Source organism: Homo sapiens, chromosome X (assembly GCF_000001405.40).
Source record: "Homo sapiens chromosome X, GRCh38.p14 Primary Assembly".
NCBI lineage: Eukaryota > Metazoa > Chordata > Mammalia > Primates > Hominidae > Homo > Homo sapiens.
In genome coordinates this window covers 74,377,961-74,395,366 of record NC_000023.11, presented here as the reverse complement: position 1 = coordinate 74,395,366, position 17,406 = coordinate 74,377,961, and the positions used below count along the sequence as shown (strand labels likewise).

The 17,406-nt window shown below is 41.2% G+C and overlaps 1 pseudogene, besides 1 other annotated feature; it reads right to left on the bottom strand.

Moving 5' to 3' along the window:
* On the bottom strand, positions 4,378 to 4,675 carry RN7SL790P (RNA, 7SL, cytoplasmic 790, pseudogene; annotated as a pseudogene).
* Positions 12,876 to 13,376: an enhancer, noted in NCBI's record as "H3K4me1 hESC enhancer chrX:73601826-73602326 (GRCh37/hg19 assembly coordinates)". NCBI's record gives its function as "activates a minimal SCP1, AML or CMV promoter by ChIP-STARR-seq in primed H9 embryonic stem cells {active_cell/tissue: H9 hESC(primed)}" and the evidence as "EXISTENCE:reporter gene assay evidence [ECO:0000049][PMID:30033119]".

The window sequence follows — 17,406 nt, the reverse complement described above, 5'->3', positions numbered from 1 at the left end:
CTCATTCTTTTTTTTGGCTGCATGGTATCCCATGGTGTATATGTACCACATTTTCTTAATCCAGTCTGCCATTGATAGGCATTTAGGTTGATTCTATGTCTTTGGTCTTGTGAATGGTGCTGCAATGTACATACACATGCATGTGTCTTTATGATAGAATGATTTAAATCCTTTTGAGTATATACCCAGTGATGGGATTGTTAGGTCAAATGGTAGTTCTGTCTTTAGGTCTTTGAGGAAAAACCACACTGTTTTCCACAATGGTTGAACTAATTTACACTCCCACCAATGGTGTATAAGCATTCCTTTATTTCTGCAACCTCACCAGAATCTGTTATTATTATTTTTTGACTTTGTAATAATAGCCATGGGCTGGGCATGGTGGCTCATGCCTGTAATCCTAGCACTTTGGGAGCTTGAGGCAGGCAGATCACTTGAGATCAGGAGGTCAAGACCAGCCTGGTCAACAAGGTGAAACCCTGTCTCTACTAAAAATATAAAAATTGGCCAGGCGTGGTGGCTCACGCCTGTAATCTCGGCACTTTGGGAGGCCAAGGCGGGTGGATCACCTGAGGTCAGGAGTTCGAGACCAGCCTGACCAACATGGAAAAACCCCATCTCTACTAAAAATACAAAAAAAATTAGCTGGGCGTGGTGCCACATGCCTGTAATCCCACCTACTTGGGAGGCTGAGAAGGGAGAATCTCTTGAACCTGGGAGGCAGAGGTTGTGGTGAGCCGAGATCATGCCATTGCACTCCAGCCTGGGCAACAAGAGAGAAACTCCGTCTCAAAAAAATAAAAATAAAAATTAGCCTGGCGTGGCAGGCACCTGTAATCCCAGCTACTCAGGAGGCTGAGGCAGGAGCATCACTGGAACCTGGGAAGCAGAGGTTGCAGTGAGCTGAAGTCATGCCACGGCACTCCAGCCTGGGTGACAGAGTGAGACTCCATCTCAAAATAATAACAATAATAATGGCCGGTCGTGGTGGCTCACACCTGTAATCCCAGCACTTTGGGAGGCCGAGGCAGGCGGATTACCAGGTCAGGAGATTGAGACCATCCTGGCTAACACAGTGAAACCCCGTCTGTACTAAAAATACAAAAAATTAGCCAGGTGTGGTGGCGGGAGCCTGTATTCCCAGCTACTCAGGAAGCTAAGCCAGGAGAATGGCATGAATCCAGGAGGAGGAGCTTGCAGTGAGCCGAGATCACACCACTGCACTCTAGCGTGGGTGAGAGAGCGAGACTCCGTCTCAAAAACAACAAAAATAATAATAATAATAATAATAATAATAATAATAGTAGCCATTCTCACTGGTGTAAGGTGGTATCTCAATCTCATTGTGGTTTTGATTTGCATTTCTCTAATGATCAGTGATGTTGAGCTTTTTTCCACATGCTTGTAGGTCATATGAATGTCTTCTTTCCAAAAGTGTCTCTTCATGTCCTTTGCCCACTTTTTAATGGGGTTATTTTTTCCTTGTAAATTTGTTTAAGTTCCTTATAGATGCTGGATATTAGATCTTTGTCAGATGCATAGTTTGCAAAAATTTTCTCCCATTCTGAAGGTTTTCTATTTACTCTGTCGATAGTTTCCTTGGCTGTGCAGAAATTCTTTAGTTTAATTAGACCCCATTTGTCAATTTTTCCTTTTGTTGCAGTTGCTTTTGGCATCTTCATCATGAAATCTTTGCCTGTTCCTATGTCCAGAATGGTATTGCCTATGTTGTCGTCTAGGGTTTTTATAGTTTTGGCTTTTAAGTCTTTAATCCCTCGAGTTAATTTTTGTATATGGTGTAAGGAAGTGGTCCAGTTTCAATCTTCTAAATATTGCTAGCCAGTTATCTCAGCACCATTTATTGACTAGGGAATCCTTTCCCCATTGCTGGTTTTTTAAATTTTAATTTTAATTTATTATTATTTTTTTCTGAGGCAGGGTTTCATTTTGTTGCCCAGGCTGGAGTGCAGTGCTGCAATCATGGCTCACTGCCGCCTTAACCTCCCAGGCACAAGCAATGCTCCTGCCTCAGCCTCTTGAGTAGCTGTGTGCCACCATGCCCGACTAAGTTTTGAATTTTTGTAGAGATGGGGTATTGTCATGTTGCTCAGGCTGGCCCATTGCTTGTTTTTGTCAGCTTTGTCAAAGATCAGATAGTTGCAGCTATGTGGCCTCATTTCTGGGTTCTCTATTCTGTCCCACTAGTCTATGTGTCTGTTTTTGTACCAGTACCATGCTATTTTGCTTACCATAGCCCTGTATTATAGCTTAAAATTGGGTAGCATGATGCCTCCAGCTTTGTTCTTTTTGCTTAGGATTACCTTGGCTATTTGGTCTCTTTTTTGGTTCCATATGAATGTTTTGTTGTTGTTGTTGTTTTGAGATGGAGTTTCACTCTTGTCACCCAGGCTGTAGTGCAACGGTGCGATCTCAGCTCACTGCAACCTTCACCTCCTGGGTTCAAGCGATTCTCCTGCCTCAGCCTCCCGAGTAGCTGGGATTACAGGCACCTGCCACCACGCCCAGGTAATTTTTGTATTTTTAGTAGAGATGGGGTTTCACTATGTTGGCCAGGCTGGTCTCAAACTCCCGACCTCAGGTGATCTGCCCACCTCAGACTCCCAAAATGCTGGGATTACAGGCATGAGCCACCGTGCCCAACACATATGAATTTTAAAATAATTTTTCTAGTACTGTGATGAATGTCATTGGTAGTTTAATAGGAATAGCATTGAATCTATAAATTGCTCTGGGCAGTATAGCCATTTTAGCGATATTGATACTTCCTATCCATGAGCATGGAATGTTTTTCCATTTGTTTGTGTCATCTCTGATTTCTTTGAGCAGTGTTTTATCGTTCTCCTCGTAGAGATTTTTCACCTCCCTGCTTAGCTGTATTCCTAGATATTTTATTCTTTTTGTGGCAATTGTGAATGGGAATGCATTCCTGACTTGGCTCTTGGCTTGACTGTTGTTGGTGTATAGGAGTGTTAGTGATTTTTGTACATTAACTTTGTATCCTAAGAGTTTGCTGAAGTTGTTAGTCAATGTAAGGAGCTTTTGGGCCAAGACTATGGGGTTTTTTTCTAGATACAGAATCATGTTATCTACAAACAGGGATAGTGTGACTTCATCTCTTCCTATTTGGGTGCTCTTTATTTCTTTCTTTTGCCTGATTGCCCTAGCCAGGACTTCCAACACTATGTTGAATAGGAGTGGTGAGAGAGAGCATCCTTGTCTTGTGCCAGTTTTCAAGGGGAATGCTTCCAGCTTTTGCCCTTTTGATGTGATTTTGGCTGTTGGTCTGTCATAGATGACTCTTATTTTGAGGTATATTACTTCAATACCTAATTTGTTCAGAGTTTTTAACATGAAAGGGTGTTGAATTTTATCAAAAGCCTTTTCTGCTCTGTATCTATTGAATCTATTGAAATAATCATGTGGTTTTTGTCTTTAGTTCTATTTATGTGATGAATCACATTTATTTATTTTATTTATTTATTTATCTATTTATTTTTTGAGACGGAGTCTCACTTTGTCACCCAGGCTGGAGTGCAATGGTGTGATCTTGGCTCACTACAACCTCCGCCTCCCAGGTTAAAGCAATTCTCATGCCTCAGCCTCCTGAGTAGCTGGGATTACAGGTGCCCACCATCACGCCTGGTTGATTTTTTGTATTTTCAGTAGAGACGGGGTTTCACCATGTTGGCCAGGCTGGTCTCGAACTCCTGACTTCAGGTGATCTGCCCACCGTAGCCTCCCAAAGAATGTTGTCTGCCTCAATGAATGTTCCATGTGAGCTTGAGAAGAATGTGTATCCTGCTGTTGTTGGATGAAGTAGTCTGTAGATGTCAATTAGACCTATTTGATGGTGCTCTTGGTTCAACTATGTCCTTATTGATTTTTGTCCTGCTGGATCAGTCTATTACTGATCAAGGGATGTTAAAGTCTGTAACTATAATAGTAGATAATCTATTTCACCTTGCGGTTCCATCAATTTTTGCCTCACATATTTTGGTGCTCTGCTGTTAGGCATATACACATCAAGGACTATTATTTCTTCTTGGAGAATTGACCCCTTTATCACCCTTTATCATTCTGTAATGCCTCTCATTATTCCTGATAATGTCCTTTGTCCCTTGCTTTGAAGTCAGCTGTGTCTGAAATTAATGTAGATATTCCAGATTTCTTTTTATTAATTTTAGCATGATATATCTTTCTCTATTCCTTTATTTTTAATTTGTCTGTCTTTATGTTTGAGGTGGATTTCTTGTAGACAACATATAGTTGGGTCTTGTTTTTCTTTGTGCACTCTAAGTCTCATTGTTGTGATGATATTTGTTTGTTCATTTGTTTGTTTATTTATTTATTTATTTAAGAGCTGGGGTCTTGTTATGTTGCCCAGGCTGGAGTGCATTTGCTGTTCACAGGTGCAATCCCAGTACTGATCGGTACAGTAGTTTTGACCCCCTCCATTTCCAGCCTGGGTCATTTCATCCGTCCTTAGGCAATCTGGTGGCCCCCTACTCCTGGGAGGTCACCATATTGATAGCAAACTTAGTTCAGACATTCAATCACTGAGCACACTATAGCTCAGAACTCCTGGGCTCAAGGGATCCTCCTGCCTCAGCCTCCCAAGTAGCTGGGACTACAGGCACATGTTACTGCACCTGGCTGTTGTGATGATTAAAGTGATTATTGCTATATAGCTGGATTAATATTTATGATATTTGTTACTATTTTTAGTTTGTTCCCCTCGTTCTTTGTTTCTATTTTTGTCTTCCAGTATTTTTCTGCCTTTGATAGTTTTAACTGAGCATTTTATACTATTCAATTTTTGCTCCTTTCTTAGTATATCAATTATATTTCTTTTTAAAAAATTTTTAATGGTTACCCTACAGTTTACAATATACATTTACAACTAATCAAAGTCCTCATTCAAATAATACTATACCACTTCATGGGTAGTGTAAATACCTTATAAAAAGGATTCCTAATTCTTTCCCCAATCCCTTGTATCATTGTTGTCATTCGTTTCACTTACGCATAAAGAATAAATATTGTGAACATTTTTGCTATTATTGTGAACAAAGTTTTTGTTAGATCAATTAAGAATAAGAAAAAGAAAAGTTTTTATTTTAATATCACTTATTCCCTCTCTAATGTTCTTCCTTTGTTTATGTAGATCCAAATTTATAACCTATATAATTTTTGTTCTTCTGAATTTCTTTTCTTCCAAGGAAGGTTTATCAGCAACAAATTCCCTCAATTTTTGTTTTTCTGAGAAAGTCTTTATTTCTCTTTCAGTTATGAAGAATAATTTTATTGGATACAGAATTTGAGGTTGATTTTTTTTTCTCAGCACTTTAAATATTTTATCCCACTCTGTTCTTGCATGGTTTCTGAAGAAAAGTCTAAGGTAATTCTTATCCTTATTCTCCTGTGGGTAAAGATTCTTTTAAAAACATTTTTCAGTGGTTGATTTTCTGCGGTTTGAATGTTATATGCCTACATGTAGATTTTTGGGCATTTATCTGGCTTGGTATTCTCTGAGCTTCCTAGGGTGGAGTTTGGTATCTTACACTAATTTGGGGGAATGTTTAGTCACTATTGCTTCAGATATTTCTCCTGTTTCTTTCTCTCTTTCTCTTCATTTTTGTATCCTCATTATGCATATGTACACCCTTTATAGTTGTCCCACAGTCCTTAGGTATTCTGTTCTGTGTTGTTTTTCATTATTTTTTTCTCTTTGTTTTTTAGTTTGGAAAATTTCTATTACCATATCCTCAAGCTCACTGATTCCTCAGTCATGTCCAGTCTACTACTGACCCATCAAATGCATTATTCACTTCTATTACAGTATTTTTTGTTTCTAGCATTCCTTTTTTATTCATTCCTAGATTTTAATCTTTGGTTACATTACTCATCTGTTTTTGCATGTTTACTTTGTCCATTAGAGCCCTTAGCATGTTAATTACAGTTATTTAAAATTTTCATATCTGAGTCTGGTTCTGATGCTTGCACTGTATCTTTAAACTGCAGGGATTTTTGCCTTTTAGTATGACATAATTTTTTACTGAAAGCTGGAGATGATGTACTCTGTAAAAAACTTGTGTGTAAATAGCCCTTGAGTGATTTGGTGGTAAGATGTGAGGGGAGGTGAATCATTCTATAGACCTATGATTAGATCTCAGTCTTTTAGTGAAATTCTTCCCATGGACTGTGACCTTTCCAAGTGCCTCTCAGGTTTTTCCTTACCTCTGCAGGTCAGAAAGGCCGAAGGGTTATGGTGTTGGGTATTTCTCTCTCCCCAGGCCAGTCAGGCTCTTATAAAATTTTCGTAGGTTATATTCCAGTGAAATATTTTCTCTTGAAGGCAGGACTTGTTATGAAGAACAGAATACTCTGGGCATATTTCAAAATGACTATTTTCATCCTTCCCTTATAGAAATCAGACAGGGATTTTTCTTCAATTTTAACTGTGAGACTCTGGTAAGGCTCCTTGAGGTAAGACTAGTGAAAGTGTAGGGTCCCCCTAAACTGAGGTTTCAATGTGGACAAGTTTGAGAATTAAAAATTCTCGTTGAATTTTCTCATTGAAACTCCAGCAATTCACCAATTAAAGTTTAACTTTTCCTACCCATGGTTGCTGGTTCACATGAAGGTTTCAGTGTGAGGGTTTCTGCTCCAGAAAACCATAATCTATATCTGCCAGTCTTTCCAATTTGGGGGCAGCATTTTGCCCCATGACCTCAATTCTCTGAGGAACCTAAGAATTGTTGGTTTTTAGTATGTTCTATTTTTTAATTTTTTTTTTTTGAGAAGCCTTGCTTTTGTCCCCCAGGCTTGAGTGCAATGGCCCGATCTTGGCTCACTGCAACCTCCACCACCTGGGTTCAAATGATTCTCCTGCCTCTGCCTCCCAAGTAGCTGGAATTAATGCACCTGCCACCATGCTCGGCTAATTTTTGTATTTTTTAGTAGAGATGGGGTTTCACCATGTTGGCCAGGCTGGTCTCGAATTCCTGACCTCAGGTGATCCTCCCGCCTCGGCCTCCCAAAGTGCTGGGATTACAGGCTTGAGCCACAGTGCCCAGCCTACTTTTTAATTGTTATTAAGACAAAGTGACAACTTCTAAGCTCCTCACAGACTGGACTGGAAACTGAAGTCATTTTTTTCTTTTTTCTTTTTTTTTTTTTTTTTCTTGAGACGGAGTCTCACTCTGTGGCCTAGACTGAAGGGCAGTGGCATAATCTCAGCTCACTGCAACCTCCACCTCCCAGGATCAAACGATTCTCATGCCTCGGCTCCTGAGTAGCTGGGATTACAGGTGTGTGCCACCATGCCTGGCTAATTTTTTTGTACTTTTAGTAGAGATGGGGTTTCTCTATGTTGGCCGAGCTGCTCTCAAACTCCTGGCCTCAAGTGATCTGCCTGCCTTTGCCTCCCAAAGTGCTGGGATTACAGGTGTGGGCCACCGCACCCAGCCTCTTCTTCATTTTTAAAGTATAGTTTTGCTGGATATAGAATTCTTGTTTGATTTTTTTTCTTTCAGCACTTTAAATATGTTATCTAATTGCCTTCTGACTCTGTGATCTCTGATGAAAAATTGGCTGTCAATATTATGGAAAATCCCTTTTATGTTTTGACTCACTTTGTTTTGTTTGTGTGTTTTCAAGATTGTCTCTTTGCCTTTGGCTTTTGGCAGTTTTATTAAAATGTGTGTCTCTGTGGATTTTTTTGAGTTTATCCTTCTTGAACTTCTTGAGCTTCTTGGATGTGTAGACTCATGTCTTTCCTCAAATTTTGGAAGTTCATGGTCATTATTTCTTCAGATATTTTCTCTACCCCTTTCTTGCTCTCTTCTTTTCCTGGGGCCCTCTTCTTGGGCTATATATATTAGTAACCTTAATGGTATCTGACATGTCCCTTAGGCTCTGTTTATCTTTCTTCATTCTTTTTTTCCTACTCTCCAGACTAGATAATCTCAATTGACCTAACAAGTTAATTGATTTTTCTGCCTGTTGAAATCTGATGTTGAACATCTCCAGTGAATTTTTCATTACAGTTATTGTATTTTTTTTTTTTTTGAGACAGAGTCTTGCTCTGTCGCCCAGGCTAGAGTGCAGTGGTACAATCACAGCTCACTGCAACCTCCGCCTCCCAAGTTCAAGTGATTTTCGTGTCTCCGCCTCCCAAGTAGCTGGGATCACAGGCGTGTGACACCACACCCAGCTAATTTTTGTATTTTTAGTAGAGATGGGGTTTTGCCATGTTGGCCAGGCTGGTCTCGAACTCTTGGCCTCAAGCAATCCACCTGCCTCGGCCTCCCAAAGTGCTGGAATTACAGGCATGAGGCACCTTGCTCAGCCTGTATTTTTTTTTTTTTTTGAGACAGGGTCTCACCTTATTACCCAGGCTGGAGTGCAGTGACATGATCATGGCTCACTGCAGCCTCGACCTACCAGGTTCAGGTGATTTTCCCACCTCAGCCTCTTGGGCAACTGGGACTACAAGTGTGTACCACCATGCCTGGCTAATTTTTTTGTAATTTTTATAGAGACAGGATTTTGCCATGTTGCCCAGGCTGGTCTCAAACTCCTGGGCTCAAGCAATCTGTCTGCCTCAGCCTACCAAAGTGCTGGAATTACAGGCATGAGCCACCATGCCTGGCCAATTTGTATTTTTTAGATTCACAATTTCTATTTGGTTTCTTTTTATAATTTCTCTCTCTCTTTATCAACGGTCTCTATCTGTTGAGAAATCATTCTCCTGATTTATTTCAGTTCTTTGTCTGTGGTTTCCTTGATCTCTTTGAGCATATTAAGAATGTGGGTCTAAAATCTTTGTCTATTTAAAAATAAAAAACCATAAAATCATATGGCTATAGTCATTCCCACACTTATATTTCAAACATAGTACGGCCACTTACATGTAAAATAATATATTATAATCAAATTGCATCAGTCACATACATGTATATCCCATAAACGTCAGCTACACTAGGGCACAAGCTGATGACTAAAGAAAGAAAATATCATTACAAAGTGGCATTTGCTTAGGGAGACTGAGGCCATAAAATTGGGAGTGTGCTAGAGTTTCTACCATGACATTATGCATGACCAAGAGGAAAAGCTACCTTGCATTTTGTGAGGCATTGGTGAGGCTCTCTGTCTTCAAGGTCCAGTGGAACATACCAGTTTCAGCATTGGGTGTGTAGATTTCCAGCACTATTAGTATTATAGAAGTTGAACTGTGTAATAGGTTGGATTTAGGTAAATTTTCTATTTTATTTGTTTTATAAGCTTAAAATATGTCAAAGTTTACACAGTCCTATAAAATTTTGTATATACATCCAACAGAAGGAAGAAATGTTACTCTTTTAGATTTTACCTTCAGGGTTTTTAAAAATGTAAATGAAATTATTATGGTTAAAGTGCAAAAAAAATAAAGTCTTTGTCTAGGAAGTCCAATGTGTATGCTTCTTCATGGATATTTTCTATTAATTTCTCTTTTGTTTCTTTGCATGCTTCATCATTTTTTTTTTTTGAAAACAGGACATTTTGGGTATTATAAAATGACAACTCTGGAAACCAGATTCTTATCCCTCCCCAAGGTTTGTCTCTGTTGGCTATTGTGGGCTGTCATTGTATGCTTCTTTAGTGACTTTCCCCAACTACTTTAGTATTTTTTGTTGTATGTGACCACTGAGTTCTTTGTTCTATTAGCCTACTGTTTGGTTGGTGTTTTCAGAGTTCCCTTAAATGACTAGAGCTAAGAAATGAAAAAAAAAGAAAAAAAGAAAAACAATCCTATTCAACACATGGTTCTGGGATAATTGGCAAGCCACATGTAGAAGAATGAAACTGGATCCTCATCTCTCACCTTATACAAAAATCAACTCAAGGTGGATCGAAGACTTAAATCTAAGACCTAAAACCATAAAAATTCTAGAAGATAACATCGGAAAAACTCTTCTAGACATCGGCTTAGGCAAAGAATTCATGACCAAGAACCCAATAGCAAATGCAACAAAAACAAAGTTTAAATAAATGGGATCTAATTAAACTAAAAAGCTTCTGCACAGCAAAAGAAATTATCAGTAGAGTAAACAGACAACCCATAGGGTAGGAGAAAATATTCACAAACTATGTATCTGATGAAAGATTAACATCCAGAATCTACAAGGAACTCAAACAAATCAGCAAGAAAAAAACAAATAACCCCATCAAAAAGTGGGCAAAGGGCATGAATAGACAATTCTCAACAGAAGATATGCAAATGGCCAACAAACATATGAAAAATGCTCAACATCACTATCAGAGAAATGCAAATTATAACCACAATGTGATATCACCTTACTCCTGCAAGAATGGTCATAATTTAAAAATAAAATAAATAGATGTTGGTGTGGATGTAGTGAAAAGGGAACACTTTTGCAATGCTGGTGGGAATGTAAACTAGTACAACCACTATGAAAAACAGTGCAGAGATTCCTTAAAGAGCTAAAAGCAGAACTACCATTTGATCCATCAATCCCATTGCTGGGTATCTATCCAGAGGAAAAGAAGTCATTATATGGAAAAGACACTTGCACACATATCTTTATAGCAGCACAATCTGCAGTTGCAAAAATATGGAACCAACCTAAACGCCCATCAACTAACGAGTTGATAAAGAAAATGTTGTATATATACACCATAGAATACTACTCAGCTATAAAAAGAAATGAAATAATGGCATTTGCAGCAACGTGGATGGAGTTGCAGACCATTATTTTAAGTGAAGTAACTCAGGAATGGAAAACCAAATGTTGTATGTTCTCACTAAACTATGAGGATGCAAAGGCATAAGAATGCTATAACGGACTTTGGGGACTAGGGGAATGGTGGAAGTGGGGTGAGGGATAAAAGACTACACACATTGTACACAGTGTATACTGCTTGTGTGATGGGTGCACAAAAATCTCAGAAATCACCACTAAAGAACTTCTGCATGTAACCAAAAACTACCCATTGCCCCAAAACTATTGAAATAAAAATTTTAAAAAATAAAAACAAGAAAGGAAAGAGTACTATCCCAGTCTCCACATATTGGCCCTAACTCTGCCTCAGCTTTCCCTTCCTGCATATGTGGAGCCTGAAGGCCTGCCTGAGGTGAAAGCTTAGGTTCTTCTCCAGTCTTTTCAAGCATGTGTCCTCCCCTGGGAATGATTGTGGCTTTATTGATTCCCTGGTGTACATAGGAGCTTTTAAAAATTCTTTTTCCCATACACATCTTCAGTCCCAATCTCTTCTTTCCCAGGCTTCTAGGTGTGTCTATCATTTGTCTCAAGTGTTATCCCTAACCCCAGGCTGCTGCAGCCAATACCTGTGCCTTTAAATACTTTCAGTAACAGCCTCCTTGGAAGCCACTGGAGCCCTGCAAACACTCTGAGTCAGGTGAAACATAGGAAAACCTTCCTGCCAGTTTTTGAGGGAGCCTCCAGGCTGGTGGAGGCCCATACCACAATTCTTTGAGAGTAAGGTTCATATTGCTCCCTCTGGAACTAGCAACTTGCACCAAGAGTGCCATCTACTGTCCTCACAGCCACTGCTGATCTAGGGCATGGGGGATGATAAGTGGGTGATTTAAAATGCCACAACAGTCTCTTACCACAAAGCAACATCTTTCTTCACCAAGTATTCCCCTTGTTGTAAGTTTTTGACTAGATTCCAGCGTCCTTCAAAAGCTGATTCTGACAGTTTTTCTAGCGCATTAGTTTCTTTTTAGGAGGAATGTAGATCTGGAGTTTCCTACTTTATTATTTTTGGTGCCTGATATACCTTAATCTTGAAAACACCTTGCTAGCCAAAGCAAAGAGTTATGAGTGCTACATGAAGCCTGAAATGGCTTCGGAATTTCCAAATAGACAGTTTTTAAGGGTGGCAGGGGGTACTGGTTGGAAGAAGGGACTAGGGAACGGTTTTTCAAGATGTGTTTGCAAAAGCATATTACCTAAATTTGAGAAAACACCAACTGTCAATATCATGGATATGTGAGTACTAATGTAAATTATGAGAGGAGGTGTTAAAACCTTCCCAGGCTCCCTTGGTGCTGTTGAACTAGCAAGTGGTTATTTGTTTGGAAAGCTGCTTCTGAGACTACAGGTCAGGATGGGAAAATGAACCTGATGAGCCACCAATAGCCCCTTCTTGAGAGGACTTGGGAGTTAAGCAAACTGATCTGAATTTGGGGTTATGCTCAGGATTTACTGAGCCTTTTTCTATCATTCTGCTTTTGGGTTGAAGAAGGAATACAGCCTGGTCAGGTATAATGGCCAGAACTATAAAGGGTTTTTAGGTTCATCCTCCTTTCCCCCGACCCACAAACTCACAGTCTCTGAGGATGGTTGAGAAAAACCATGCTCTGGAACTGGTTGCCCTAAATGGATACCAATCTAGACCCAAAGGAACACTCTATCCACAGCCCTTTATGCCTTTGGCCACTAGGGGGCACCTGGACTCTGGAGACTATTACCCCTACCCACACCCTTAAGACTAACTTTGAATGGCAGCTTCCTAATTTCTCCCCATAACTTTGCCTGGAGCCTGTAGTGGACTGCAGTAAAGTGGGCAGCTTTCCAAATCACTTGACTTAGAGTCATCAAGTTACCCCTCAGGCCAGAAGAACACCCAAGACGTGCTGTGGTGATTTAGAGTCTTAGAATGTCAGCACTGGAGGGACCTTCAGGATTTCCTGGGCCAAAGTTTTGGGATTTCTTTTGTTTCAGGGGATGTGTGTGTGTGTGTGTGTGTGTGTGTGTGTGTGTGTGTGTGTGTGAGAGAGAGAGAGAGAGAGAGAGAGAGAGAGACAGGGTCTCGCTGTGTCACCCAGGCTGGAGTGCAGTGGCACGATCTCGGCTCACTGCAGCCTTGACCTCCTGGGCTCATGCGATCCTCCCGTCTTGGCATCCCACAGTGCTGGGATTATAGGCATGAGCCACCATGCCTGCTGCAAATATTTTTTTAGCCACAAATTTCTTTCTTCAAATTAAAAGTGTGTGGTGGCCCTGCGCTTATAATCCTAGCTATTTGCTAGGCTGAGGCAGGAGGATCGCTTGAACCTGGGAAGCAGAGTTTGCAGTGAGCCGAGATCGCACCACTGCACTCCAGCTTGGGTGACAAAGTGAGACTCCGTCTCAAAAAAAGAAAAAAAAAAGTGCAACTCATGGCATTGGGAGGCCCTGGGCTCAACCCTGCTCTGAAGGGATGTTTCAGAATTCTAGAGCAGTGTTGCCTAACTTTCAGTTCTGCCCAGAGCTCCCATATGATTTTTATATCTGTATCTACCAGCCAGCTTGTTGTAGGGGCCAAGGGAAAACTTCCCCTTTGCCCTCTGAAGGCTCGCAGAAAAATCAACTCAAAAAAGGTAGGTAATAGGAGGAAAGACATATGATTTACTAGCGTGTACACAGGGAGCATCACAGAGTGATTGCCCAACTCCCCCACTGGGGTGCAGAAGCTTATATACCATCTTGAGGTTACAGAAAGAATGGGGCCCAGAGAATGGCCAAAAGAGGTAATGGTGGTAAATCAGTTTATAATGCCAAGACAGGTTATCGGAGGGAGAGAAGAGGAGGCCTGTCTAGCAAAAGTGTCTCATTGTGTAGATGAAACCTCACAGGTAGCAACCTTCAGAGAGAACAGATGGTAAATGTTTCTTTCGGTTCTTTAAGGTGTCAGACTCTCAGTCTTTCCTAGATTTGGACAAGGGAAGGCCTGGCTGCATCAATGCAGATTCTCTACAAGTGCAAATCTCCCCCACAAAGGACAGCTTTGCGGGGCTACTTCTGTTTGCTGGCCCCCTGACAGCCATCTCAAAATGTGTCAAAGAAATATGTTTTGGGGTAAAATATTTTTAGTTCCTTCAGTGTTCATATTTAATATGTTTCTTTAAATTGACTCACTTTTTTCTTAAATAAATTCAGCCTCATCCTATGTAACATCACAGACTTAATGTTTTAGGTATATTTTTTTCTAATTCATATTAAAAATATATCCACAGCTATTGTAATTTAAAATTTGCTTCTGGCAACACCTAACGTTGTCTCATGTCCTTGTGTCACACTTTGAGAAATGATACTCTATGGTACCAAAGAGCACAGTTGGAAAAGTACTCAACAGAGTTCACTTTATTTTGAGGTGAAGACACCAAGAGACCCACAAAGAGTGAGGGACTCACTCAAGGTCACTCAGTCAATCACAGTGGCAGTGCTGGGACTTAAATCCAAGTATACTGACTCCTAGCTCTTTAATCCTTTCACTGTATTAAATTCTAAGGGCCTTAGGAAGCTCCTTCACCACCCAGACTACAAGTGGAAGGAAGGAAAGAAGAAAGGAAGGGAGGGGAGGGAGAAAAGAACTATTTGCTTAGTGAATTGGAGCTGGTACAGAAGCTGTAGCTTAGGAGGGCCAAGGTAAGATGTGGGGTAGAATGATTTCCCATGTCTCTTTGGGCCGAAGTACTTATAAGGCCCCATCTTACAAAGCCTGGGCTCATTTGCATGAATTTATTAGAGCACCCATCATGTGCCTGGGCACACAGAAAGGAGCTCACAAGCCAGTGGGTAAAACAGCTCAGCAAATAGCTGATTAGTTTGTAGTGGAGGAGGGAAGGACAGTAGGCATAAGCCCTGCCCTACACAAGTTCAGCAGCCCTAGTCCAAAGGCTCGATTTTCTCTTCTCTCAAGTATGGGGACTGATAGGTGTTAAATACCCTTCAGAGTCTGGGGTTGGCAACCCACTGCCAGCCAGAGGTCGTGGCCATGAAGTCCTTTGCTTTATTTTTTTTACCACTGACAATTGTCACCAATGCCCCCATCCTGGTCCATTATCTCATATGCAAACTCAGAACCCACCCTCCAAAGGGGAATGGACAAATTGAATATGGCCAGAAACTTAACCCCAACAGTACTGAGCTTTGGACTGTAGTTCCTCCCGACTTCCTCTTCTTCCCAGACTTGTTTATGAAGCACTTCAAATAGAAAGTGTTGGAAATAGGTCTGTAACCACTTAGTGTTGTCTGATTCTTTTTTTTTTTTTTTTTTTGATATAGGATCTCGCTCTGTTGCCCAAGCTGGAGTGCAGTGGTGCGATCTCAGCTCATTGCAACCTCCGCCTCCTGGGTTCAAGCGATTCTCTTGCCTCTGCCTCCCGAATAGCTGGGATTACAGGTGCACCCCACCAGGCCCAGCTAATTTTTGTGTTTTTAGTAGAGACGGGGTTTCACCATGTTGGCCAGGCAGGTCTCAAACTCCTGACCCCAAGTGATCTGCCCGCCTCGGCTTCCCAAAGTGCTGGGATTACGGGTGTGAGCCACCATGCCCGGACAGTGTTGTCTGATTGTGGTAGCTCTATTTGACTTCCCCTAGTTGGGTGAGAAACAGGAGACCCATTCCCACCCCCTTCACACATGTGGTGCTTCCCCAGATATCCGGACACATGAATTTTGTTGCTGGTTGGTTGCTTCTAATAGGGCCCTGAGGGCTATTTTTACCACCACCTCTGCCCCACACCCACGAAACAAAAACCCAGCAACCCCCAAAGTTAAATCTTCTAATGCAAAGAGGGCTGGAAATATTGTTTCTTTCCCAAGTACCCGCTAAATTTGACCCCTCCCAGCCTGGGAAGTGTTCTCCCAGAGGGAGTTTTACTGATTGAGATAACAGGTTTGTTTTTGCCTCCATGACAAAACAGGTACTCATGAGGCATTGAGCAGGGGAAGAGGCAGACAAGCCACATCCAGCACAAGATTAATCTTCAACTGTCTCTACCTCTCCCTTTAACATCCTTCTACCGGTTTGTAGTTTTCTCCCTCGTTCCTTCCCACTCTGTCCCCATCCACAGAGCCCTCCAGTACCCCCTACCCTAAATGATCTGAAAAATTCATTTGTGGTAGAAAAAGTTCAGGATGGAGATAAGAAAACCTGGGTTCAAGTATTAGCTTTTCCACCTACTAGTCAAGTAATGTGGAACAAAATAATCTCAACTCTCTGAGCCTCAATTTCCCCTCTGCAAATAGGCATGGTGATCCCTGACCTGCTCACCTCGGAAAATTGCTATACAGATCAAAAGGATACTGGATATGAAGTTGTTTTGTGAAGAACCAATCAGAATGCACATGTGAAAGATTGAGTGAGTCACCCATATTGGAAGAGTGGTATTTTGAAAGAGAATAACTTAAGGAAGAAGCCATTAATGCAGCATTTTAAACACAGGGTAAGAATGAGATAGATGGCAGAGGCTTGGGCCACTTTGTCAACTTTCTTATTCACTTGATAAACCAATTATTAAACATCTACTATGTGTTAGGCACTCTTATAGATACTGGGGATAAAAATCCCTGCCCTCATGGAGCTGACATTCTAAGAGCATGGCAAGGGCCTAAGAAAAACAGTCCCTGTCCCTCCAGCCTAGGAAACAATCTAATGTCCAGTTCAGAGCCTCAGGGCTATAGAAGAGCTTTCAGTGATTTGATTTATTCCTTTCTGCACAAAATCTGTTTTAGCATTAATTTGACAATATGTACCATTTGCTGAGGCCTTTTGCAAATCCAAAATAATGTATGGCATGTATTCAACAACAAGCATTTCATTCAACAATTTTTTTTTTTTTTTGAGACGGAGTTTTGCTCTTGTTGCCCAGGCTGGAGTGCAATGGTGCAATCTTGGCTCACTGCAACCTCCGCCTCCCAGGTTCAAGCGATTCTCCTGCCTCAGCCTCCCTAGTAGCTAGGGATTACAGGCATGTGCCACCACACCCAGCTAATTTTGTATTTTTAGTAGAGACGGGGTTTCTCCATGTTGGTCAGGCTGGTCTCAAACTCCTGACCTCAGGGGATCCACCCGCCTCAGCCTCCCGAAGTGCTGGGATTACAGGCATGAGCCACCACACCCGGCCTTCATTCAACAAATGTTTATTGAGTACCTACTATGTGCTTATCACTCTGTAATTGTGGGGATAATGAATGGAAAAGGTATACAGAATTAAACAAGTTCGAGTTTCAGCCCTTAAAGAGCTCCTGTACTAGAAAGAAATAATTACAAAGAGATTGGCCCCATGACACAAAGCGGGGGTTGCTCTAACAAATATTTTAACCCAGTAATGGGTGAAAACAGATGCCTAGTAAGTGAAATAGTATAATTAGTGAAAAGTGCTTATGTGACCTCTGAGGAGACACTTTTTTTTTTTTTTTTTTTGAGACGGAGTCTTGCTCTGTCGCCCAGGCTGGAGTGCAGTGGCGCAATCTCGGCTCACTGCAAGCTCCGCCTCCCAGGTTCAAGCCATTCTCCTGCCTCAGCCTCCCCAGTAGCTGGGACTACATGCGCCTGCCACCACGCCTGGCTAATTTTTTGTATTTTTAG